Raw genomic sequence first — 26,539 nt, 5'->3', positions numbered from 1 at the left:
TTATTCTAAGCGTTTTACATACATTAATTCTTTTAATTCTCATATTAGCCTCAGGAGAGGGGCACAATTACTTTCCCCATTGTACAGATGAGGAAATAGAAGCAAAGAGACTTTAAATAACTGGCTTAAGTCACACAGCAGGTGAAGTAACAAAGCCATGATTTGATCTTAGGCCATCATGTTTCATAGTCAATATTTTTAATCATAGTATTATATAGTCTGTCTTCAGTAAATCTTACAAAATTAATGTTATAATTGTCTACATGAATAATTCTAGGCAAGACTAGATTTGTCTAAGACATAGGTATTCTGATATATATATATCAGAATATATATATATAGTGTGTGTGTGTATATATATGTATATGTCATTCAATTCAGTGTTGGATTTTTATTGAATTTATTCTAGGCCGTTGTGACTTTATTTCTGTCTGTTGGCTAACCTCTCTGGACTAGGAAATGTATACTCTGTTGAGGTGATTTGCTCAAAGTGGAAGCCTTAGTTCTAACTTGGCATGATAACTTTGGAAAAGTGACTGAGTGCAAGATACTACCTTAGATAATTTAAGCAGAAGACTAGATTGGGGCACAATTGAAAGTAAGAGTGGAAAATCAGATTCAGCTAATTTTTGATAAAGCCAGTGTAATTCTGAGTGGTTTAGATAAAATTAGTAAACACAAGGGCTGTTTTGTAGACTAAATGTAGGTGAAAGATTAAATCTTTTATCTAAAAAGATGTCTCATCTCTCTTTTGTTAGAAGGTCCCCTAAGAAGAGCTTGGCAGACTCTGAAGGAACCTCTCCTTTTGCATAATGAACTGCCAGTAGAAACCCTTCTAGCCGTTAGAACGCTGTTTCTGTTTTTAGTAAACAGTTTCACATTCAGGCAGTTTTGTTTCTGGTTTGAGTATTTACAGGTGATGTGAAAGTTTAAGGATAATAACTTTGCTGTTAATGTCTGCTCTTAATCACATTCGTCTCAGGGAGGTTTGCTGTTTTGAAAACAGTGTTTTCAGAGAAAAAGGTTATCTGTAGTTAATTTGATTTCCTCTTTCATTTCAGCATTTTTTTTTTTTTGAGACAGAGTTTCTTTCTTGTTGCCCAGGCTGGAGTGCAATGGCGCGATCTCGGCACACTGCAACCTCTGCCTCCTGGGTTCAAGCTATTCACCTGCCTCAGCCTCCCGAGTAGCTGGGATTACAAGCATGTGCCACCACACCTGGTTAATTTTGTATTTGTATTAGAGACAAGGTTTCACCATGTTGGTCAGGCTGGTGTTGAACTCCTGACCTCAGGTGATCCACCCGCCTTGGCCTCCCAAAGTGGTGGGATTACAGGTGTGAGCCACTGTGCCTGGCCCTAAAATGCCATTTATTGTTAAAACATTGTATGCCGTTAATTTTGAAATTGACTTGTGCAGTTGTTGCTTTACATTAACATCTTCATAAATTTATTATACAGTTAATGTTTCTTAGACAGTTTACCAGCTGTCATTTATCATTTACTTGGTAATTTAGTGATCTCAATTCTGATTTAATTCACCTAGTCACTGAGAATTACTTATGCTTTGCTTGCTCTCAGTAAAGCATTAGAATTAAGTAATGACGAGAAGAACAAAGGATTTTCTTAAGTATAGTACATGAACTTAAATAGTTTGGGTTACCTTGTTTTAGTGTTACAGACGGTTTTTAATAATCCCTGGATTCAAATTAGCCGGGTATGGTGGTGGGTGCCTGTAGTCCCAGCTACTCGGGAGGCTGAGGCAGGAGAATGGCGTGAACCTGGGAGGCGAAGCTTGCAGTGAGCTGAGATCATGCCACTGCACTCCAGCCTGGGCGACAGAGCGAGACTCCGTCTCAAAAAAAAAAAAAAAAAAAAAAAAAAAATTCCCTGAACTCTCTAGTATATATTAAATATTTCAAGTTTTTAAACAAGTAGTCTCAAGTAAAGGACTGGCCGGGCACAGTGGCTTACACCTGTAATCCCAGCACTTTGGGAGACCGAGGCAAGTGGATCACCTGAGGTCGGGAGTTCGTGACCAGCCTGGCCAACATGGTGAAACCTCGTCTCTACTAAAAATAGAAAAATTAGCCGGGCATGGTTGTGGGTGCCCGTAATCCCAGCTACTTGGAAGGCTGAGACAGGAGAATCACTTGAACCCAGGAGGCAGAGGTTGCAGTGAGCCGAGTCTGTGTCATTGCACTCCAGCGTGGGAGACAGAGCGAGACTCCATCTCAAAAAACAACAACAACAACAACAACAACAACAACAAAAAACGAAAAAAGAAAAGGAAGGACTGGCTTTATTTGCTTTATCCACACTGTCAAATTTTGGTATTGTGGCAGCACTAAGAAATTTGTAGTTTCGGTAATGAGGTTCATGACATATAGTAATCTCGTTATCTAGCACAAATTTGAGTAATTTGAAGAAATCAGTTACTTTAGCTAGTGAAAAAGTCTAGCTATCTGCGTAACAAAAATAAAACTTCTTGAATCTTTCTCAGAATGTTAGAGCAAAAGATAAAAGATATGGAAAAATGTGCAAGGAAAGAATGATTTGGAGAACACAGAGTGATAGCGTCTGACTGAAAGAAATTTCAGGAGCTGTATTAGATAACATAGAAGGGGAAATAATCAGTGAAATAAAAGGAGAAATTTCTCTTTCTTGAAAAATTGAATCTTTTGTTTAAAAGCATTCTGATTGCCAAGATTAGATGAAAGAACATCTATGTTTAGTTTCAACTTTTGTAATTTTAAAATTTCAAGAGTAAAAAAACCCTAAAAGCCTCCAGACATAGAAGTTGTTACCTAAAAAGAATAGGAGTCCGCTGGCATTGGACTTCTTCACAGCAGCAGTAGTTGGTAGAAGGCAGTGGAGTAATACATTCAAAGTTCGGAGTTTCTAATCCAGAATTTGATAACAGCCAAATGATCACTCAAATGTGAGAACAAAAAAAGACATTTTCAGAAATTTAAGGACTTGGGAAGGTTAACTTAAACGAGTTCTTGAATATGTACCTAGCAAAATGAAATAGAAGTTCAAGAAAGAGGATGAAATGAGACCCCAGAAACGGAATTCCTAACTAACACACCAGTGAAAATCTCAGGATAACAACTATGCCATAGGCCTAGAAAGCAGTTGGTTCAAATTAGAACGAAATGGCAGAGTTGTCTGTGAAGAATGTCTTCAAGAAGAAAGTAAAAGCCGTTATATGAATTATGTGGTGGAATTTTTTAATGTTAAGATAAAAGTCAACGAGAGAAAAAAAAGAAACTGGGGGATGCAGTATGACATTCTTGGCAGTAAACCACATTAAGCTTTGGAGGAGCCATACGTGTAAGTAAGTCTTGAATAATGGAGGCTGAAAGTAAAAGAAGACTCTTAAATATGCATTCTTTTGTGGAAATATAATTTTTTTTAAAGGAAAATAGGGTGGGGAGTGGAGTGTGGTACAAAGCTAAAGAAAGGTGCAGCTAACATTCAAATGCAACATCACATAGGAACAGTAGATAAAATAAGAGGAAGATCTGGAAAATGTGATGTAATGGGATGGGATTGGACTTAATATATAGAAAAAAGAAATGCTTTAGGAGCCAGATCTTTTGAATAAGATGTATCATTGAACTAAGCAGTATACATTTTAGTTTAAAAAAATAAACAGTATATCTTTAAGCAGGGTTATTAATAACAGAATACTTGAAGGTATATTTGTATCATATTATGAATACATGCTTTTCATTAACTTACTGCCTGTATTGATTTGAACCATAATGTGGATAAACCAAAAGGAGAAAAACAATAATACACAGGCCTTCAGTAGGAAAAACGGTAATATACATGTTGAGAGAAGGGTTAGAAAGGACGTCTTAGTAAAACATGGTCTGATTTTTATCAATCTAGAGTGGGAAGACTCTTATTCTCTTTTCTCCACATTTAGCCCAGAAATGCAGGTTGGGGGAATAGAAATGATGCCTAAGGCTCCTTGCTGACTCTTCAGATGGAACTAACATAGGAAAAGAAATTAGATCAGAAAGTATTTCAAGAAATCCCAGTCACCTCACTTTGTCATCAAGCTTTATAACATCGAGCAGCTTACCTCACTCCTTGGGTTTGTTTCCTCATCTTGAGTTTGTCATCTTCAAGGTTTCTTGTGACTGCTTACGTTACATGGCTTTTCTATGCTAGATTTTCTCGTGAAGCTCACTGAGCACTGAAAATAATTCTAAGAATGTATTTTTAGGATTGTTATAAATGTTCAGCTTCTTTTGTGACATCTTTGGACGCCATTGGGTGAATGAGTTCTAGTGTGTTGGTCATTTTTAGTCATTTTTTATATAAGGAGGAAGTCAGTGGTATGTGGTATTTATATTTTGAAGGAGCAATCTAGAAAACAAAACACAATCACAGTATCAGTAATGAAAGCACTGAAATCATTGCAGATCCTTACAGATGTTAAAAGGATAACAAAAGAATGTTAGAAGCAATTTTATGCCAATAAGTTCCATACCTTAGATGAAATGGACAAATTCCTTGCAAAACAAATTACTAAAACTGACAATAAGAGGAAATAGTAAATCTTAATAGCCTTTTATTAGTTAATAAAATTGAATTCATATTTCAAAATCTTTCTACAAAGAAAATAGTAAGGTCAAACGGCTTTACTGGTAAATTCTATCAAATTTAATGAAAAGAAAGAAAGAAACACAGTCTTATCTAGACTCTTAGAAAATAGAAGCTAGCATTACCTTGATGGTAATACCAAAGACATTATAATAAAATCAATATGGAATATAAACCAACATTATTTGAGAATATATGTGCAAAAAATCATTTAGTATTTGCAAGTCAAATTCGGTGGTGTGTAAAAAGGATGATAAAACACAACCAAGGGGATTTTTATACCAGTAATGCAATTTTAACATTCAAAAATTAATGTAATTTACTATTTTGACAAAAGAGAAAAACATCTTCTCAGTAATTACAGCAAAGTGTTTGGCAAAATGTAATATCTATTCATGATATTAGCGAATTGGGAATAGAAGGGAACTTCCTCAGCCTGATATTGGGCATCTACTAAAAAACCTTTACTTTGTTCATACTCATATCTCATGATGAAAGGCTGAATCGTTTCTACCTAAGATTGGGGAAGAAAACAAGATTTTCCACTCTTGACCACTTCTAATCAACGTTGTATTTGAAGTCCTAGTCACAACATGATCAAGAAAAAGAAAAAGACTTGAGATTGGAAAGGAAGGAGTAAAATTGTTTTTATTCCCAGATGACATGGTTTTATATATATAGCAAATGTTAAGTTACTAGGACTGATGTGAATTTGGCAAGATTGTAGGATACAAGGATAATATACCCAAACAGTGTAATTTCTATATAATAGTAAAGAACAATTAAAAATGAAATGGGTCTGGGAGCGGTGGCTCACGCCTGTAATCCTAGCACTTTGGGAGACTGAGGTGGGCAGATCACGAGGTCAGGAGATCAAGACCATCCTGGCCAACATGGTGAAATCCCATCTCTACTAAAAATAAAAAAATTAGCTGGGCATGGTGGCACTTGCCTGTATTCTTAGCTACTCGGGAGGCTGAGGCAGGAGAATGGTGTGAACCCAGGAGGCGGAGGTGGCAGTGAGCCAAGATCGTGCCACTGCACTCCAGCCTGGGTGACAGAGCAAAACTCCATCTTAAAAAAATAATAATACAAATAAAGATGAAATGGACAAGTACCATGCATAATAGAGTAAAATTGTAAAATACTCAGGTATAAGTTTAACCAGATATGTGTAAAATCTGTACTCCAAATTACAGAAAATTATTGGAACTTAAAAAGACCTACACAAATGAAGATATATACCGCATTCATAGATTAGAAGACTTGTTACAAAGATGTCAGTTCTACTCAGACTTATCTATAGCTTCCTCAAGACCTTCCCAATCAAATTCTTAACAAGATTTTAAAAAATTTAGCAAACTGATGGTTAATTCCATGTGGAAATGCACGGGTCTTAGAAGAGTCAGCATTTTAAAACAGAACAAAGTAAAAGTACAGCTCCTCGATTTAAAGATTTACCATAAAACATAACACTGTGGTACTGGCATAAGGTAGACTAAAATCAATGAAACAGAATAGAGGGTCCAGACTCATTCATTCATATATGTATACACATATATATGTATATACATATATATACATACGCATATATACGTATATATGTATATACATATATACACACGCATATATACGTATATATGCATATACATACACATATATATACATATATATGCATATACATGTACATATATGTACATATATATGCATATACATGTACATATATGTACATATGTATATACATATATGTATACATGTATACATGTGTATACACATACATGCATACACATATGTATGTATACATATGTATGTACATATGTGTATACATATATGTAAAATGTATATATGTATGCACATATATGTAAATATATATTATATATACATGTATGTATATATTTACATATATGTGTATTGTATATGTAAACATGTTTACATATATATTTACATATATATGTTTACATATATATGCTTTTTTTTTTTTTTTTTTTTTTTTTTTGCCAAAGGTGCCGTTGTAAAGGGAGCCTTTTCAACAAAACAGCTGTATTTCTGTATGGAATAAAAAGTCATTATTTTTCTATATGTATCATATATTTAAAAGGCATATAACGTAGGTCATAGATTTAAACATAAAACAATGGAACATCTAGAAGAAAACAGGAGAAAATCTTCATGATCAAGGATGGGTAAAGACTTTTAGTACACACAAAACAGGAATCATAAAGGGAAAAAATTCTATTTCATTAATATTGAAAGGTTTTGGTTTTAAAAATACACCTATGAAAAGGCAAGCTCACAGACTGGGAGAAAATACTATTAGAAAATACCTAACAAAGGACTTGGATCAGTATATAGAGAATTTCACAAATCTTTTACATAACGCTTTTTTTTTAAAAGCACAATTCACTAATAAAAATATATGAAAAAATAGGCAATACCACTTGTTAGCAAGGATGTGGAGCTACTGAAATAATCATATATTGCTGATGGGAGAGTAAAATGGTACATTACTTTGGAAAACTGACAGTTTCTGAAAACTTAACCCTGTGACCCAGCAATTCCAGGAAAACGTTTGTTTACAGAAATACACATTAATATTTATAGTAGCTTTACAGGAATGTCTGTCAACAGATGAATGCATAAACAAATTGTGGTATATCCATATAATGGACTATACTGCTCTGCAGTATAAAGGAACAAACTGACACATGCAACAACATGGATTAGTGTCAAAAACTTGGTGAGTAAAAGAAGATAGACGCGAGTACCTACTGTATGATCCTGTAGACATGAAATTCTAGATAGAATTTAGTTATAGAAAGAACAGTGGTTGCCTAGGGTGGTAAGAAAAGGGTGATTGACTGCAAAAGGGCTCAAGGGAGTGTTTAGGGGTCATGGAATGTTCTTTTATCTTGATGGTAGTGATGCTTCCATAGGTATATGCATTTGTCAAAACTTATATAACCATATACTTAATAATGCATCATTTGAAGGTAGTTATTCCTCAAAGTTGGCTTAAATTATTTTAGCATTTTTAGGCCAGGCGTTGTGCCTCACACCTGTAATTCCAGCACTTTGGGAGGCCAAGGTGGGCAGATCACCTGAGGTCAGAAGTTCAAGACCAGACTGGCCAACATGGTGAAATTCCGTCTCTACCAAAAATACAAAAATCAGCAGGGCGTGGTGGCGCACGCCTGTAATCTCAGCTACCCCGGAGGCTGAGGCAGAAGAATTGCTTGAACCCAGGAGGCAGAGGTTACAGTGAGCTGAGATCACACCACTGCCCTCCTGCCTGGGTGACAGAGTGAGTCTCCATTAAAAAAAAAAATAGCATTTTTATTAAAATGTGATACTTCTTTTGTTGGTGGTGATACCGAGTTTTTGCATATTTGACAATTGCATGATAATCTTTAAAGTATGTAAGAAATCTAGGAGCTCCAAAAAGACTCATTACTTTTTGCAGTCTAAGATTATATTTCTCGAATGTAGACCTTTTAAGTGGATGAGTTTTTCATGTATTTAAGAAAAGGTACAACACATACATGTATGACCTGTGTTCATTTCATAATATACTATTTCAAGTCTGTCATAATACTGATAGGGTGCTCTCTTTGCTTTGTTCATTTGGTAGTCAAACTGTGCAGAATATAAATATTAAACTTCCACTTGGTACACAACAAGATCATTATAAAACTGGAAAATTTTTTTGGAGCTTTTTGAAGGTTTTATCTGCTGCGCCCCCTGGTGGATTTTACTTCTCATTGGGGTCACATGAAAATACAGCCATTTACCTTCGTAGGAGGTGTCTTTATAAAAAACTGTAAAGCTTTTAAGTTAATCTTTATGTTGAAAAACTTCTCAGTAACTTCTGTTGATAACACTATGAGGTTTTTTGTTTTGTGATCTTCACAGGAGTTATTCAGTACAAGCTTTTCCATAGATAATTTTGCCATGTCTGATGGCTTTTTTCCAAAACACCTCTAAGATAGAGATTCCGGGATCCTGTATTGGAGTAGTAGTTTCTAATAGTTCTCATCCTATAATATGGTTCTAAATTTCTTGCTGTACAAAAGAGATTGGAGAATCGTGTCTTAGAAATAGTACGTATAGTTGGGATAAGCCTTGAACATATTATGGTGCCAGAAATTAAGGAAGTACTTAAAAAAAAAAAAAAGGTTGTTGGAAAGGCCGCATAGGAGCCAACCTGAAGATCTAATAAAGACCTAATAAAGCTGGAACAATTTGACTAACAAAATAATGATAGTATTGGATTTTAATTCATGTACTAAAATACTCATGAGTCCATGCTGATGTAAGTATTTTAATAAATAAATGGTGGAGAAGGCACTGGTTTTGGTTTTGTATTTTTTTTACAGGAGCATCCCAATTAATGTAGAAAGAAAGACGGGAAAAGAAATTTTTCATTAGGCAAATACCACGGTAATAAATGTGGCAGACAGGACCTGCTGATGGATGCCAAAATTAGGTCAGAGTTTGAGGAGAAAAGAGTATTTGCACAGTCTCAAAGTATTCCCTACCCCCTCTCCTCCCAGGATATTTTTTTAACTGCAAAGGAAAAGATGGTAGATTTATAGTGGAGAAATCTGGCAGCCACCACCTTGGCCAAGTGATCAAAGTTAACATCACTAGTAATAAGACATATTGATGTCATGAGCCCCTTGATACAGTGTACTGGAGGACACAATATCATTTCTGTGGTATTCTTGCCCCAAATGCCTAAATGCATTCTAATCATGAGAAAACAGGAAGCTCAAACTGAGGGAAGTTTTACAAAATACTGGATCATAAGTTTCAAGGTCATGAAAGACAATCAATCAAGAGTTGTCACAAATTGGAGCCAAGACTCAGGAGAAATTACAAAAAAGTTACAAAGATAATAGAGTTCTTGAATACCCCTCAGCCAAGTGGGGATGTTAACATCTCACAGAATTATAGTACAGTTATCAACATCAAGAAATTAACATTGGCTAAAGAATATTAAACCACATACATGAGTGAAAAAAATGGTGAAACTTGGAGAGTGTTCTTTTTCTTTTCCAGGATTCTCTCCTGGATCCCACATTACATATAGTTGTTTCTTTCAAAATATTATTGTTAGAATTTAGAGATACTTGCTTTGTTTTAAATCAGTTGGTGTATTAATAGGTAATAAGTTATTTGTAAAGTAGCTATTAAAAGAATTTCCTGATGAAGCAATAGTCTTGTTGCTTTTTTCTACTATACAATTATTGGGAATTGGCTAAAATTTGAGGAAAGTTTTGTTTTTCTACCATTCTGTTTATTTCATTTTCTCTTCATTCTGAAAAATTTTAGCATCACCTAAAACAGTTCACACTGCTTTAAGTTGTCTTTACTTTTAATCCCAACAGTTGAATAGCAGCTTGGTGTGTATGTATTAATAGCAATGCTTTCAGAACCAGAACACTGTGGTCTTTTCTTTACTATTTTGAAATTTCTTGTATTCTTTTTTTCTAAATGAGAGAAATATATAAGGGAGATGATTTATGTTTCATCATCTGAAAGTGTGATGAATGAATATGTAACCTTCTATTTCTATTAATATTATATTGCTGCAGTATTAATATGTCCAGTTGAAAATACTAAAATTTAGTGTAGCAACATGAGCTCTCTAAAAGCAAGTTCTTAATACTTTCATGTAGTAACATTAACAAGATTCTTGAAGTCACTTTTTAAAATGAGTTACCATCTGAATTTTACATTTATCCGTGAGAACCGTCAGAGTGCAATTGATCGAGGTTAAGTCTCAACAGTCTGTTTTCTGTATAAACAATCTACCAATTCCTTATTAGTAACTTTTTATGTTTTATAAACTCTGACTAAAATATCTAAGTTTTTGCCACCTTGCTTAAATTTTAGATAACAGTATATGACTTGAAGATTATTTTAATATTTTGTCTAATATAATGTCAATTGAATATGTAGGCATTTTCAACTGTTAAGGCATTCCTCCCAAAGTTGTCCTTCCAAAAAGTAGAAAAATAACATGAGTTTCAACCTGGCAAAACATATGAAAAAGAGTATCTCTGAGTCACAAGATGAGTCAAGAGGGTGAGGTTTGTTTTTCCTTGTCCATCTCTTTTAAGGGAATATGATCCTAAGCAGCAGGAAAAAAATATATTTAATGAAAATTGGCGCCAAAAGTTAGAATTTGTTCTTCAGTATTTAACTGGTACTAAGTGCAGATCTTCTATAAATATACTGAAACTAAATTTAATGGTGCTAACAAGATGGGTTTGATCTGCTTTAGAGATCTGTTCCTAATTTGTAGGTGATTGCTAATGCCGATATTTCAAGAATTAAAACTCTGTTTCATACTCTAATATCCTACTGTAGCACAGCAACACTGCTGGCAAGTGGAAGTGCTTAAATAACTGCCCCTCAGGTGCCAGTAATGACCAAAGAAATCATTTTGTTTGATACCTAAAATAACTATATTTACCATTTGTTCTTGAAAGCTGACTTTCGTAGATCTTGGCTTTAAAATTTTTTCCTGGCTTTGCTTTCCAAGCTGGCCATTTAAAAATATTCTGGATATTTAGGTATGGATTCCTCTAGTTGCTCAGCCTCGACTAGATTGTAAATACTGAGTATTTAGTCCATCTTACTCATCATCGTAATCGTAGCTGAAAGGAGGGGAGGGAGATGAGGAAATAAATGAGTGGTTGGAGAAAAGATAACTGCCCCCATACATGCTGCACTGGCTTCTTAGCTCAAGATCAGTTTTAGCTACATGGGGTATGTGGGAATGATGATGAATGGAAAGATTAGATAGAGCTTGTTCCCTCCTAGTCATATTAAAGGGGCTTTTTAAGAAGTCATTTATTGTCAAGGTAAAATGTGATCACTGGCACATTGCTTTGCCTTTGAGGAAAGTTTTGACTACTCATCCAGAGCAGATATCAACTACTTTATAATGTTTCACAAGATATTAAAACAAGTAAATAAAATTTAACTACTCCTTCTAAGGGCCTTTGCCAGGGAGTGAGATAATGATACAACTATAAGATAAATCATTAGTAACCCCTTTCTTTTATCAGAGAAAAATTGATAGGTGTCTCATAAATGGAGAATTCAGGCAAGGCCATTCCAGCAGGAGGTTTATAAGGAAATGGAGGTATAAAATCTATACTTTAGCAGAGATGTGCCAAGAGCATTGTAGCCAAAGAAAAGGAAATGGGGAAAGAGATAAGATGGAAATTTAAATTTGAGGCTAAGTATTGCCGAGGACTTTAGACTTTTTGTATTAGAAAGCCACTAGAAAATGTAAAGCACAGGAGCTAGCCGTTTGGCTGAATTTGCCTTTTAGAAAGATTACTGTTGGCAATGTAAAGAAGATGGATTGAACCACATATATTTATTTGATTTATGATTATGATTTTCAAGTATTCTTAATATTTTTTATTCATTTATTAAGACTGAAATGCTATCTTCTTGATTGGAGGAGTTTTCTGAGTAGCTAAAACAATCCTTTAAGTGCCTAAATTTCAGTTTCTTGATAAACAACTTTCTAAACTATAATTAATGTCCCCACTTCAATAAATTGACTAATAAATAGTTTGCATAAATATTATCATACTACATTTCTGCTTTTCCTCTTCCCATTAATCATACAGCCTAGAAGAAATGATCCTGATTTGTCCACTTAAAGTTTGTGGAGACATTATCTTTTCTTATCTACTCACAATAGATCACCTTTGTGATCTGTTATGTTTAAATTCCCTGTCACCTTTCCTAGTCTATGGTTGTAAACTAAGGCAAAACTCAAGATTGGAAGAAGAAAATAATTAACTAATCCTTGGTATATGTGTAAAAAATTAAGGCAAGCGTGGAGAGGGTAGCTCTTCAGCAAAATCTATGAACTTTGAGACACTGTTCTGAATGGTTTGCTGATTGGTACCTGGTTAGCTAGTAGTTTTAAATACTGATGGAATTTTAATCAATAAGTTTTACATTTGAAATACTTATTAATACTTAAAACATTATTAAAACCATAATTAAGCACCTGTTATATGTGATGCTCAGAGCACCAATGAAAAAGTCATGGACTCTGCCCTGAGGTGGAGTAGACATATAAATAAATAAGCGAAAAGCATTTGTAGGACTTTCATTATATTTTTTCTCTTTCAAGAGTAAGGGTGTGTCATTTTATAGATAGAAAATGGGGAAATAAGGTTTATTTGAACAGTTTGCAGTTATGTCACATATTCCATTAAAGAAGGAATACTCTTTAATAGAGGGATAAAATGCTTGTGTAGTTGATGTGCTTATGAAGTGCTTATATGATCTTTTTTATCAGATTATTTATATACATTAATGTGCTACATAATAATTTTTGGTCAGTGGCTGACCACATATACACAGTGGTTCCGTAAGATTATAATGGAGCTGAAAATACATGTACAGTCATGTGTCACTTAACAACGAGTTGCATTGAGTAATGCATCATTAGTGTAGCCTAAGTGTACAGAGTTTATAAAGTCTACAGTAATATCCTAGGCCCTTACATTAACTCACCAGTCACTCACTGGCTCACCCAGAGCAGCTTCTGTCCCACAAGCTCCTTTCATGGTAAATGCCCTATACAGGTGTACCATTTAAGTAAAATTTTCATACTATACTTTTACTGTACCTTTTGAATGTTTAGATATGTTCAGATACACAGATATTTAGCATTGTGTTACAATTGCCTACAGTATTCAGTACAGTAAGATGCTGTACAGATTTTGTAGCCTAGGAGCAATAGGCTGGACCATATAGCCTGGGTGTGTAGTAGGCTGTCCCACATAGGTTTGTGTAAGTACACTCTGATGTTCATACAATGATGAAATCTAATGATGTGTTTCTCAGTGTAACCCCATCGTTAAGTGACTCATGACTGACTGTATGTGTATTTTGGTGTTTGCAGCAGTATTTACATAAATTTTTCATCACAGCATTTCTGATACATGTGTTCTAGAAAACCTCAGATGCCATGAAATCACATCTGGGAAAAATATGGATAGAGTAGACCATTCAAATTATGCAGCTTTGTTTGTAACAGAGTATTAACATAAACAGTAATGATCTTAAAAATGCAAGTACAAATTAACTGTACAAATGAAACACCATAGCCCATCACTTATGAGCCTTAAACGGGGACTTGTGCTTCTTTTAAGGTATGGTGCAGGTTGAAGTTATTTGCTTTAGTAGAAACTACTTTTCTAAAATTCAGTAGTGAGCCAATGTATGCCTACCTTTATTAATAGTTGTGGGGGTGAGGGGGAGCATAAAAACAAAAGAAATTGTCTTCACAACTTCATCTGTGTCCTTAGTTTTCACCAGACAACATAACAATTTTAGAAAGACTTGAGGTTCTTAAAGCCCCTAAACTTGTTTTCTCTAAAGGAAAGCACCTCTTCACTATTGTTTTCTTAAGGTCTTCATATATTGAGGGGTTTTTTTTGTTTGTTTTTTGAGACGGAGTTTCCCTTTTGTCGCCCAGGCTAGAGTTCAATGGCGCGATCTCAGCTCACTGCAACCTCCGCCTCCCAGGTTCAGGCGCTTCTCCTGCCTCAGCCTCCCAAGTACCTGGGATTACAGGCGCCCTGCCATCACTCCCGGCTAATTTTTGTATTTTTAGTGGAGACGAGGTTTCACCACGTTGGCCAGGCTGGTCTGAAACTCCTGACCTCAGGTGATCCACCCGCCTTGGCCTCCTGAAGTGCTAGGATTACAGGCGTGAGCCACTGCACCCGGCCTTTTTTTTTTTTTTTTTTTTTTTTTTTAAGAGAAACTTGCCCTGATCCTTTACTGTGAAAAATCCCTGTGAACCAGTGAAATTTCCATGATTACTGACAATACTACTCTCCTTCCTCTTTACGAATTACGTGTGAACTAATTCATATTAGAACACCATCTTGTAGCTGTAGTTTTTACTTTGATAGTATATAGTTCTATTTTAATATAATTTATATTTAAAATATATGCTTTAATTTTTAAGTTCTTACAGTGAGGATGCCATATATTTAAGCTGTCAAAACAGCTTGTATTTGTACTCTTTTCTAGTGTTGTGGGCCATAATACATATATACTCATGGGCAGTATAACATTTGCCTTCTTAATTTTCTTTTTAAAAGTTGTTGTATTTAATTTATTTTTATTTTTAATTTTTTGAGATGGAGTCTCACTCTGTCACTCAGGCTGGAAAGCAGTGGCGTGATCTCAGCTTACTGCAACCTCCGCCTCCTGGGTTCAAGCGATTCTCCTGCTTCAGCCTCCTGAGTATCTGGGATTAGAGGTGCGTGCCACCATGCCCGGCTTATTTTTGTATTTTTAGTAGAAGTGGGGTTTTTACCATGTTGGCCAGGCTGGTCTGTAACTCCTGACCTCTAGTAATCTGCCCACATTGGCCTCCCAAAGTGCTGGGATTACAAGCGTGAGCCATTGCGCCTGGCCCGTTGTATTTAATTTAAAAAATATATTTGTAATTATTTCTATAAAGTCATGATCAAAATTACTTATGTGTATTAGTCAGATATTTTAAAGGAATGAAAATGATGTAATTTAGAAGAAAATAGCTTAAACCTGTTGTTTCAAGAATTTATATAAGAGACCTGACACTGAATTTTTATGGATTACTTACAAACTAATGTAAACATTTCTTTTTAGTTATTCTTTCTCTTTTAAAGTGTTGATAAGTGAATTTTGTTAGCTATTTGGTTGTTAAGTAAAAACTGGCTTATTTGCTCAAACTTGCAAAGTATCTCTGGAAGAATATTTAGGAAACTGGCAACGTTGCTTTCAGAGAAAGGAAATGGATATCTCGGGGTGGGAAGGGAGGGAAACTTTGAATTTTGAATACCCTTTGAATTTTTGAGTCATGAACTATTAGAAATAAAGTAAATTAAAATTTAACAAGAAAAATGAAAATGAAAGTACTTCGGTTTACAGAACAGAGGTTGATTGAACCTGTCTGGTAGAACCTCCGTGATCAGCTTAGCATTGTCAGTCCTGAAATAATCTTTTGTGACCTCCATGATCAGCTTAGCATTATCCGGCCTGGAATATCTTGAGACTCAGCATACAGCGGATGTATGTAATGGCAGGTGCAAACAAACAGAAAGGTAACCAAATACAAGTATTTATGCTGTACTTACTCTATTAGAATAAATTAGTTAACATAATATATACCTCTTTTTATCAAATTGGAAATTAAACTATTGGATAACTGTTAGATTTTTTTTCCCCCCTATAACTATTAAAATTTTTTTTAAAATCTTGCTACTGCCCATTAGAAAGGATTTGGGAACATTTTTAAAAAATTCTTGCTTCCTTTTTTGTTTGCTTTTAGTTGATGCGGATGAAATTAAAAGGCTAGGAAAGAGATTTAAGAAGCTTGATTTGGACAATTCTGGTTCTTTGAGTGTGGAAGAGTTCATGTCTCTGCCTGAGTTACAACAGAATCCTTTAGTACAGCGAGTAATAGATATATTCGACACAGATGGGAATGGAGAAGTAGACTTTAAAGGTAAGAAAGTAGTTATTTTTTATAACCACAAGTTATCTAACCTATTTGTATTCTTACAGCTCTGTGTAAAAAAAAAAAAAAAGTGCTTATATTCCTAGTGACCTTACAATAATAGATTATGTTAAAACCTCAGCGTCTGTGGCATATACACCTTAATGAACTAGGACATTTTACTCTGTGGTTCATAAATGATTAAGTCATTCTTTAGGATAATCTACCAAAAAGCAGGGGGGACTCAGTATTTCCTTTCTTTTTAGAAAATTAATCTCACTTTAGGGCAATACTGTATATTCTTATATACATTAGAAGCTGCAATTCCTTTTATTTATTTATTTAATTTTTTTGAGATGGAGTCTCGCTCTTTTGCCCAGGCTGGAATGTGGTGGTATAATCTCGGCTCACTGCAGCCTCCGCCTCCTGAGTTCAAGCAATTCTCCTGTCTCAGCCTCTTGAGTAGCTGGGATTACAGGCATGTGCCACCACACCTGGCTAATTTTTGTATTTTTAGTAAAAACGAGATTTCACCATGTTGGCCAGGCTGTGGTCTCGAACTCCTGACCTCAAGTGATCCACGTGCCTCAACCTCCCAAAATGCTGGGATTACAGGCATGAGCCACCGCGCCAAGCCAGTTTTTTTTTTTGTTTGTTTTAACAAGTAAATAAACATTTCACAAGGGATTTGTCAATAGATTTTATTTTAGTTTGGACAATTATAAGTGGAGGGATATAAAACTGATTATGATTTAGTGCTTATCAGGCAGTGAAGAAAAATGATCATTTGTCATGAAACTTCTAACAGCATATTTGATTCACAATTTTGAAACAGAAGGCTAAAGTTTTTTGTGTGTGTCAGAACAATTTATAGTGGGTTTTTTTTTAAAGCCCCTTGTTACAGTCATATTCTAAGAGGGAAGAGTTAAACAACTTAAATAATATGTTTTGAGTGTTCTTTTATCTTGCACTTAACAAATGTTTGTTCAAATTGATTGACCTTAGAGAACTCCAAGTTCAAATAAAAAAAATACAGAGAGACCTTGTTTGTTGAGGTTTCAAATTTGGCAATTTTATTTTTAAACGTTGCTAGTAGTACTTCTGTTTTGCAGCAAGGAAATATCCTTTTGTGGGTATGTAAGGTAAATATGTTTTTTGTGTAAAAAATTGGAAGTTCTGATTTGTGAACATTTTTAACTCTTATTCAGAATTCATTGAGGGCGTCTCTCAGTTCAGTGTCAAAGGAGATAAGGAGCAGAAATTGAGGTGTAAGTATTTTTCTTCACTGACTTCATTCTCTTATACTACCATCATTTCATACTGTATTATAGAATGCTTTTTAAAATAATGAAAAAGATGTCTTTTATTCCAGATCCTTAGACATAACTGAAATTTTACATTCTGGTGAAAATCCTTTTAGGACATTTCCAACTACTATATTTGAATAATGTGTCATTGCTGCTTTTAGTTGGATAGAAGGAAAACAGTTTCTTTCTGCTGAAAACAGCCATGTAAAACTACATATGTAATTTAGAGAAGAGATTTTTTTAGTGAAAGTGGGAAGAAATGTTCTAAAGAACCGGAGAGGTTGGAGTTGTTACTATATCCAGTTTTATCTGTGTAGAAACTGAAGCTTAGCAGGGATAGTTAACCTACTCTAAGCTCCACCAAATCTGCTCAGGCAGTCTCAAAAGCCCGTACGTTTAACCAACTATGTTAAACTGTGCCTAAGGACAACTCTATTTTAAGGAAGGAGACATCCTCATAGTCATAATTTTGATGTTTGTCAGTTTACTATTTTCTTTCTTACTGAAAGCATTTACTTGTGATTGCTTTGTAATTGGAATTGATTTTCCTTCCTTTTTTTTAGTTGCTTTCCGTATCTATGACATGGATAAAGATGGCTATATTTCCAATGGGGAACTCTTCCAGGTATTGAAGATGATGGTGGGGAACAATCTGAAAGATACACAGTTACAGCAAATTGTAGACAAAACCATAATAAATGCAGATAAGGATGGAGATGGAAGAATATCCTTTGAAGAATTCTGTGCTGTAAGTACAAAAGAGCTGGTTCTTCCGTTAGTTATGTTTCAGCAACATATTTTAAAAACCACTTAATAGAGAATTTCCATATTTTGTCCTAAAAACTTAAGTATTTGATTTTTCCTAATTGCCCGTATTGTTTTGAAATGTGTTCTTCATTGTAATTATTAACAATTATTATTCCCAAGGATACTACTTTACTTATTGTTGGTAGCCTCTCAAATTACAACTAGGTTATACTCTTAAGGTTCATTTAATCACTCATTGCTTCTGAACAGAAGCACAACCACAACCACTTAGCTTCTCTTCTCTACTTATGCCCTAAAAACAGAGAGTAGGCTTTTTGATGTGTTACAAGGATTTTAAACTGCAAGCTAGAGATACTAGAGAAAACTAGAGCATCCAGAGTAGAGGCAAAGATAACAAAGTTTTGAAATTTTTCTGTCAGTAATGATTGGATGCTTCCATAGAAAGATTTTCTTCCTCCTTTTTATTTTTAAATGTAAATCATATAAGGAAAAACAAGTGATTTTGATAGTTGTGTGTTATGTGAGAACTGAAGTGTAGCTACTTTGACCTTTAAGTAGAAGTTCATATTATCCTTAAGCAAAAACCATCTTTTTATTATGTTTTCAAAAAGTGGGGTGGCACTGTAAAGAATAGACTGCGTCTTTTTTTGGAAGAGTTAGATGGGTTTGAGACGTTTAAGACACTGAACTACCCCCAGGGGGCGCTACCGCAAGCCATTTCTGTCCCTTCCGTTTTACCTCCTTCACCATTGCCAAGGGTCACTGTGAACTGGCATTTGGTGGAGTGTGACATGAGACCAGGCTGGTTGTGCCATCATAAATAGCAGCCAGTTTTCAAAAGAAGGAAAGGAGAAATTCTAAGCCTTAGGGGAATAAAATAAATGGAAAATTCTTGGCTTCAATGGTATTGGAAGAGGGGAGATATATATATATATATAAATAAAATGTATATATCTTATGTATATTTTACATATATATAATATATAAATTATAAATATAATATAAATATAAGAAATATAAATATATAAATATAATATATAAATGAAGATTACTTGCATTTAGCAAATATAAAATGTAATAAGTATATCACATCAGTGGAAGGAAATTAAAATATATCTTTTATATATAGAAATAATGCTGTTATCTATATTGAAGACATAAGCTAAGTTTCGAGTTTATTTTCCAATATTTATTTTAGTTTATTTTTAAGCTTTCTTTTTTTTTTTTTTTGAAACGGAGTCTCACTCTGTCACCAGGCTGGAGTGAAATGGCAGAGTCTTGGCTCACTGCAACCTCCGACTCCCTGGTTCGAGTGATTTTCCTGCCTCAGCCTCTTGAGTAGCTGGGATTACAGGCACATGCCACCAGGCCCAGCTAATTTTTGTATTTTTAATAGAGATGGAGTTTCACCATGTTGGCCAGGATGGTCTCGATCTTCTGACCTTGTGATCCACCTGCCTTGGCCTCCCAAAGTGCTGGGATTATAGGCGTGAGCCACTGCGCCTGGCCCATTTTTAAGTTTTTGTAGACAGGGGTCTCGCTATGTTGCCCAGGCTGGTCTCCAGCTCCTAGCTTCAAGCGATCGTCCCATTTCAGCCTTCCAAAGCATTGGGATTACAGGCACGAGCCACTGTGTCTGGCCACCAGTATTTGTAATCAGTTGCTTTTTGCTTGTATTTTTAAGGGGCATAGTTTACGAGTGGAGAAAAATGTTCGTTGTGTTTTTAAAACCAACTTTTCTAAACATTGATCAAGCGCTTGTAACTGGCTTCATTGAGTTCTTTTTATGTTGACTTCTCAAGCTATAACAGTGAAAGATTGGAAGTTATTTTAAAAGATTGCATACTATATATGTACTTTAAAATTTTCAGAGTACTTAATGTATACAAATAATTCTTACAGATGATTAGTGACAGGCTTAAAGTTGGTGTATTGAACCCATGTATAATTTATTTTTACCTCCTCCCCAAACTCCAATAAAATGCAATGAATTAGAAAGGGTTATGTACTCACAAGGACAAAAATGAAGAGCAGAGAAGAGACAGCATCTAAATTTGGTAATTTAGAACGTTTAGAAAGTTGAATGGTTAACTAACCTAGCAGAATGATTCTAAGCTTTATCAGCTTGGAAATCTGAGAAACAAGCTGGGTTATAATGGAGAATCCGTGAAAGGCTCAGAAATTGATGGCACAAGCAACTGGAAGTGAGGATGAAAGTGAGGCTAAAAACAGAAAGACTGGTTAAAGTCTGTTTTAAGAAGGAACTGGAACACACAAGATCGCCTTCCCTACTCTGTTCCCCTGGACAGCTCTCTCTCCTGCACCCTATCAAGAGATTGGGGAGAGTCTCTAGGCTGGGAAACATGAGGCAGAGATGAGGTATATGTGTTGGGGAGCTAAGTGGCAGTAAGCATATTTGCATATTGGCATCTGTGCCCTTGTTCTGTACCTGACTTCCTGACTCCCTAGCAGCTGGACTTACACTGTCTAGGTAAGAGATGGGAAAGAGCCCTCTTTAGGAAATCTTATCTCCCCAAAGAAATGGTGCTACCAGATCATTCAAAGTATAGCTCTCACTTAACAGCCCCATCATTCACCCAGAGTTCCAGTGCCCTTTCTACAGAAGCAAAGCCAAGGATCTCACCAAACACTGAAGGAAACCTCTGTGTATGGAATATAAAGATGAAACCAGGTCCAAAAAAATAAGTTCAAAACAAACAGATTAGACAAGACCAGTAAAAATTTTAAAAGGAAAACTGAAACCTGTCATTATCCTTGGGGATATTGTATATTGAATTTTTGAAACAAAAGTTGGATAATATATAAAAAAGCTCTTGGGAATGTAATTTTACATACCTATTTTTGGAGTTGTAACACCCGAATGCCAGGATTCCAGAAGGAAAATGGAGGGAAATAAATAATCAAAAATGAATCAAGAAAATACTCCAAAGCCAAAAATAATATGTTTTCTGAGAGGGCTTATGGAGCATCTAGCATAGTCTGTAAAAATAATCTGGACCTGGGCACACTGTCATGAAATTTTGAGACAGTGGGAACAAATAACTGGTTCTGCAGATTTCCAAAGAGCTGGGGTGGTAGGGTGGAGTGCTGGGAGAAGGGCTTCATATAAACAACCAGGAGTCATAATGGCACCAGATTTCTTAGTAGCAGTGTGGGAAACCCACAAGAACATGGAGCATTTTGCCTGTGCAATTCTGAGGGACAGTTATTTCCAACTTAAAATTCTCTATACACTCAAATGGTAGTAGAAAGACACTTTTAGGTATGTAAGGCCTTCTCATTTTGGAAACTACTGGAGGATGTGCTCCCACTGCAATAAGGTCATAAATCAAACAAGTAGAGAGTGTAGGATCCAGGAAGCAGAGGGTCCAGCATGGTGAGAGGGAGGATCCCCAATATGATGAAGAGCGCCAGAGATGACAGGCCTGGAGACAAAAAGTCTAGAGTGCAGCAGGTTGGAAGGCTCAAAGAGTGCTTTCAAGACAATAAAATTGATAGAATTACATAATATTTTTAGTTGAATGTATTTAGAACAAAAGTTAGGGGTTGAATTATAATTACATAGAACACCCAGCAAAGGAATTAACTGTGTACCAAACAAATGTGCAGGAAAGAAAAAGTAATCATAATACATAGTTCTGTTTATCTGTATTGTATAGTTATAACAATGAAAAATGCTGATTTTTTTTTTTTTTTTGAGAGGGAGTGTTGCCTCAGTTTGTTGCCCAGGCTGGAGTCATGCCGCCTAATCTTTTTTTTTTTTTTTTTTAAGTATTAGAGACCTGGTTTCACCATGTTGGTCAGGCCGGTCTTGAACTCCTGACCTCAAGTGATCTGCCCACCTCAGCCTCCCAAAGTGCTGGGATTACAGGCGTGAGACACCGCACCTGGCTGAAAAATGCTGAATTTCTGATGAAAATAAAGATAAAGCCATTGGAATGGTACAGAGTTTGTGAAGTGTGTAGGGTAGGAGATAGAGGGAAGAGAAGTATGTGAAAGCTAAAAATCTTAAGAGACCTGGAGGTAAATAGTGCAAGTCAGCTGAAAACTTTAAATTATTGCCACTGCATAAAAGCAAATAGAGAATGAGGGCAGGGTGACAAACTGCTTTTTTTCCCACAGCAGGAGTTGTAGAATTCGTTGGCACTTTATGCTTTAGTTTTCAAATAAAGGGACTATTTTTTTAGTTTGAATTTAAAAATAATACAGATAACAAATACACATAACAACATGGATTAATCTCACAAGCATAAAATTGAGAGAAGCTAGACACGAAAGAGATTCCATTTATAAAATGTACAGAAACAGAAAATAGTAGCTACTGGTCGTGTGTGTGTGGTGGGGGGAGGGGGGGGTTGGAGGAGGGGAGATGTCTGGTGACTGGAAGATCTGGGTGCTGGTTATTGGGTGTTTACTTTGTGAAAATTCATCAAACTGTGGACATTTATGACCTATGCATTCTCTTTATGTAGATTAAATGTAATAAAACATTCCCCCCAAATGATACAGATACTACACTTACACATTACCATGTCAGTATTCACTGAGATGTGTATGACTACATGTATTTGACTCTACAGAAAAATAATATACAGACATGTTTATTCACTTGGTACTTTTTAAATTGTCTAGAACAGACTGAGAGTGACACGCATATTTGATTGTGAGGACAGTTTTTGTCATAATATCTGGTTATCGTGTGATATTAAACTACTGAAGTAGGGGCCAGCAAACTACAGAGCAAACCAGATCCTGCCCATAGCCTGTTTATGTCTGTCTTTGAACTAAGAATCGTTTTTACCTGAAGTGTTGTTTTGAAAAAAAAAAAAAAAGGAAAATGTGAAAGAAACTACATGTAGCCTGCAAGACTGGCCCTTGTACAAGAACACCCAAAAAGTAATGCCTGTTATCCTAGGAGAAAGAAACCATGAAAATTCTAACTGGAGGTCACTCAAGTTTTGTTGTTTTGGTTTTTTGTGTGTCTTTAAATTCACCTTCTGAATATAGCTAAAGTAATTTTTTTTTTTTTTTTTTGAGATGGAGTCTCGCTCTGTTGCCCAGTCTGGAGTGCAGTGGCGCGATATAGGCTCACTGCAGCCTCCAACTCCCGGGTTCAAGCGATTCTCCTGCATCAGCCTGCCCAGTAGCTGGGACTAGAGGCACACGCCACCACACCCGGCTAAGTTTTTGTATTTTTTTAGTAGAGACAAGGTTTCACCGTGTGTTAGCCAGGATGGTCTCGATCTCCTGACCTTGTGATCCACCTGCCTTGGCCTTCCAAAGTGCTGGGATTACAGGTGTGAGCCACCACGCCCAGCCCCCTAGTAATATTTTTTAAAATTTGATGAAGTAGTTAGACCACGAATGAGGAGTTTCTCAGACACTGTGAAGCTTGATTTGTTCCTGTCTGTTGCAGGTTGTAGGTGGCCTAGATATCCACAAAAAGATGGTGGTAGATGTGTGACTCTTATCAGAGAGTACCACCCAACACTTTTGCTTTCTTCTCCATCTCTGAAGATCTGCTCAAGACGTCCAGCAATGCTCTCTGTGTATTTAAATGGAAGTATTTTTCTCTGTGAAGCCACATTTTCCAACATGAGCCTCATGAAGCCAACTAAGTGTTATTGAACTGTAATTCTCTCAATAACTCAGTGTAGCACTTTAAAGTCTGAAGGACAGCAACATGAAAAGAGCATATCAATGTGGTGGAGAAAGGGAAGGGGTTGGCTTTTTAATTTATTTTTCTTCATCTTTTATAACAAGAAAGTATCTATATATACATATGTAAATATTTATATATAGATATATGTAGCTTTCTATATATGTAGTAGGTTGGCTTTAATTTAATATACTTGATTCAGAAACAAAACAATAGAGTACAAAAGTGCCAAGCAGAACATAAAACATCCTTACTTTTATTTCACACAGTTTTATATATAGATAGAAGACTGTACAATTTGAGCCGGGTGTTAGGCCAGCTATTTTCCTTTTCCTGTGCTTTCTCCTTTGAGAGATTGACAAAGCATTTGTTAACGTCCTATTATTTACCTTAATTACATTTTTGTAACAAAGGAGTCTGTAACTTTATTTATACTTATGAATATATCCAGGGACTACTTCTCATTGCTGAGCAGCTTTTAATACACCTCTGCTTGAGGAGAAAGTCTAGTTCATTGCTACTGCCAAGAGCTAGTTCTTGTGTTCATATAGTAACTGCACAGGGCTTATAGCTGCTTCATTCTGCTACTTTGTAACTAGGAGCCATTGCATTTATTAAATGTCCCTCAGTAACGTTAAGTGCTAGTTGTGATTTTATACATAAAGGCCAGAAGCTGTCTGAGGCAATCATGATTGATTGTATGTATCACTTACTGAAGAATACCTGAAGTGATCATGTAACTACTTATAAGGGATATCCATTTGTTTGATTACATGGGTAAATAATTTGTCATTAAACTTGTGTTTGAATCATGAATTCCCTTGTTTCAAAAGACTTGCAGCTAATCTAAAAAACTGGTGATATTTAATATGCATGTATGTATCTAAACACCCACATATATTTGTGGTTTAAGTGTGAGAAATCTTGCTAATCTATATGCCACAGAAGAGCAAAATTGTATCCAAATTTATGCCACTTAAATTTCTTTACCACGAGGGATAGAGCATGCATACTGGTTTTTTTTTCTTGATTTGCCCATATAATTGGTAATGGATAACTTAATAAATTTGTGTGATATAAAAGTAGTGTATCATGTTCTACTGTTTGATCTTATCCCTTCCCATTTCTGCAAAGGTACTGTTAGCTGGAAGAAAAACATTTTGGTTAGCTTTGTATGACAGTAGTCTTTCCCTTTATAGTTTCTCTATAAAAACTGGTTTTAAAATCAGTGGAAAAGGGCAGGTTGAATCAAGGTGAATCAATCTGAAATTGAGCACACCTGCCTGCCATCGCTGTTCCTTCAACTGAGTGCTGCACATCATGGGCTCTGTCTGTGAGAGAAAAATCCCGGTGCTTGGTGTCCTTGCATGACATGGAGTTTTGCATGTAGATCAATTTAAAATGTACCTCTTGTTTACATAATTTGCATAATTTTAAAAGATAATGTTGCCAAACTTTGGAAATGTTAATGTTCAGACTGAAAATCTCCACTACATGTAACTTTCTTCCTCTGGATCAGTGGCATGGCTTATAATCCCAGCCAGTGGTTTGAACTGTTCCAGTGTCAACTGCCATGTGCTCTGCTTCAAGGGGGAACTAGCCTTTTGTGAATTTTTTGTACATAAGTATTTGTTACAAATATTTTAGCAAATGCTTTCTATTTCTCTTGCTTGTGCATATCTTGGCTGGCGTTACAGAAAAATAGTGTAAACATTATTTCCTTACCGGGGAATGAGGGTTTTTTCTTTTTCTTTTTTTTTTTTTTTTTTTTTAGTTTGTGTGTGGGGGTGGGTAAGGGAGGGGATGGTTTATGTTGAATGTTTAGTTTTTCTTCTGCATGATACGTCATGTTGTGGGATCTTTAGAAAACTTCATACTGTATGAATAAGAAAATAAAATATTTGAAACTTGCTTGAATGTATTCAGTGGTCTTTGATGGTTTCCATAGCTATGAGAATTTTTTTTCCTCTCAGGCTTTTAAATTCTTAAAAACAGTCTGGTAAAGTGACATTTAATCTCTATAAAAACCTACAAATTCCTGTAGTACTCTCCCATCACCTCCTGCCATGACTTCCCTTACTGCTACCCCTCTCTCTACTCCAGCCATGTTAGCCTCCGGTGGTACCTGGAGTCTTGGGTTTGTGTCTCTTAGGCCCTTGCGCTATCAGTCCCTTTTTGCCCCTTTCCTTTCCCAGTATCTCATAGCTAATGCCTTCAGGTGTTTGTTCAGTTACAGCCTAGCTCAAAAGGAACTGTCCTGGCTACCCTATTAAAAAATACAGATACGCCTGGCTCTTCTTTCCTCCTCTATATTTTTCCTTCTACAATGGCATTTATTCTTTTCTGACACAGTTTACTTACGTATTTTGTATTCCCTGACTACTGAATAAAATGAAAGCTCCAAAAGGGTAGTGATTTGTCTCTTGTTCACTGATAGCCCCAGCCCAGTTGTCCAGAGTATTACCTAGCTCTTAGTGTTTACCCAATAAATAATTAATAAATTAATGTGATACCCTGTTTATGCAGGTTGTGATTTTATAATAAATGCTATTCAGTATTTTTAAAAGGTAAAATTGGCATTTCTTGAGATTACATTTACTTGGTAACTTTGCTTTCATTTATTCAACTT

General features: G+C 35.6%; 1 protein-coding gene across 1 annotated transcript in view, besides 1 other annotated feature; it reads left to right on the top strand.

Annotated features, from left to right (window-relative positions):
* Positions 1–25,821, top strand: part of PPP3R1 (protein phosphatase 3 regulatory subunit B, alpha) — a 73,676-nt gene extending 47,855 nt beyond the window's left edge. The window contains exons 3-6 of the mRNA NM_000945.4: positions 15,988–16,164; positions 17,364–17,423; positions 18,026–18,210; positions 23,668–25,821. Coding sequence (NP_000936.1) covers positions 15,988–16,164; positions 17,364–17,423; positions 18,026–18,210; positions 23,668–23,715 — 470 coding nt within the window. The 3' untranslated portion in view covers positions 23,716–25,821. The remainder of the gene's footprint in view (positions 1–15,987; positions 16,165–17,363; positions 17,424–18,025; positions 18,211–23,667) is intronic.
* Positions 9,819–11,837: an enhancer, noted in NCBI's record as "VISTA enhancer hs2040". NCBI's record gives its function as "enhancer in: nose[3/5]" and the evidence as "EXISTENCE:transgenic organism evidence [ECO:0001131][PMID:17130149]".
* Positions 25,822–26,539: the final 718 nt, after the last annotated feature.

The sequence above is a fragment of the Homo sapiens genome, chromosome 2, assembly GCF_000001405.40.
Source record: "Homo sapiens chromosome 2, GRCh38.p14 Primary Assembly".
NCBI lineage: Eukaryota > Metazoa > Chordata > Mammalia > Primates > Hominidae > Homo > Homo sapiens.
The sequence above is the reverse complement of the archived record's forward strand: the minus strand, read 5'-3'. Positions and strand labels throughout refer to the sequence as shown.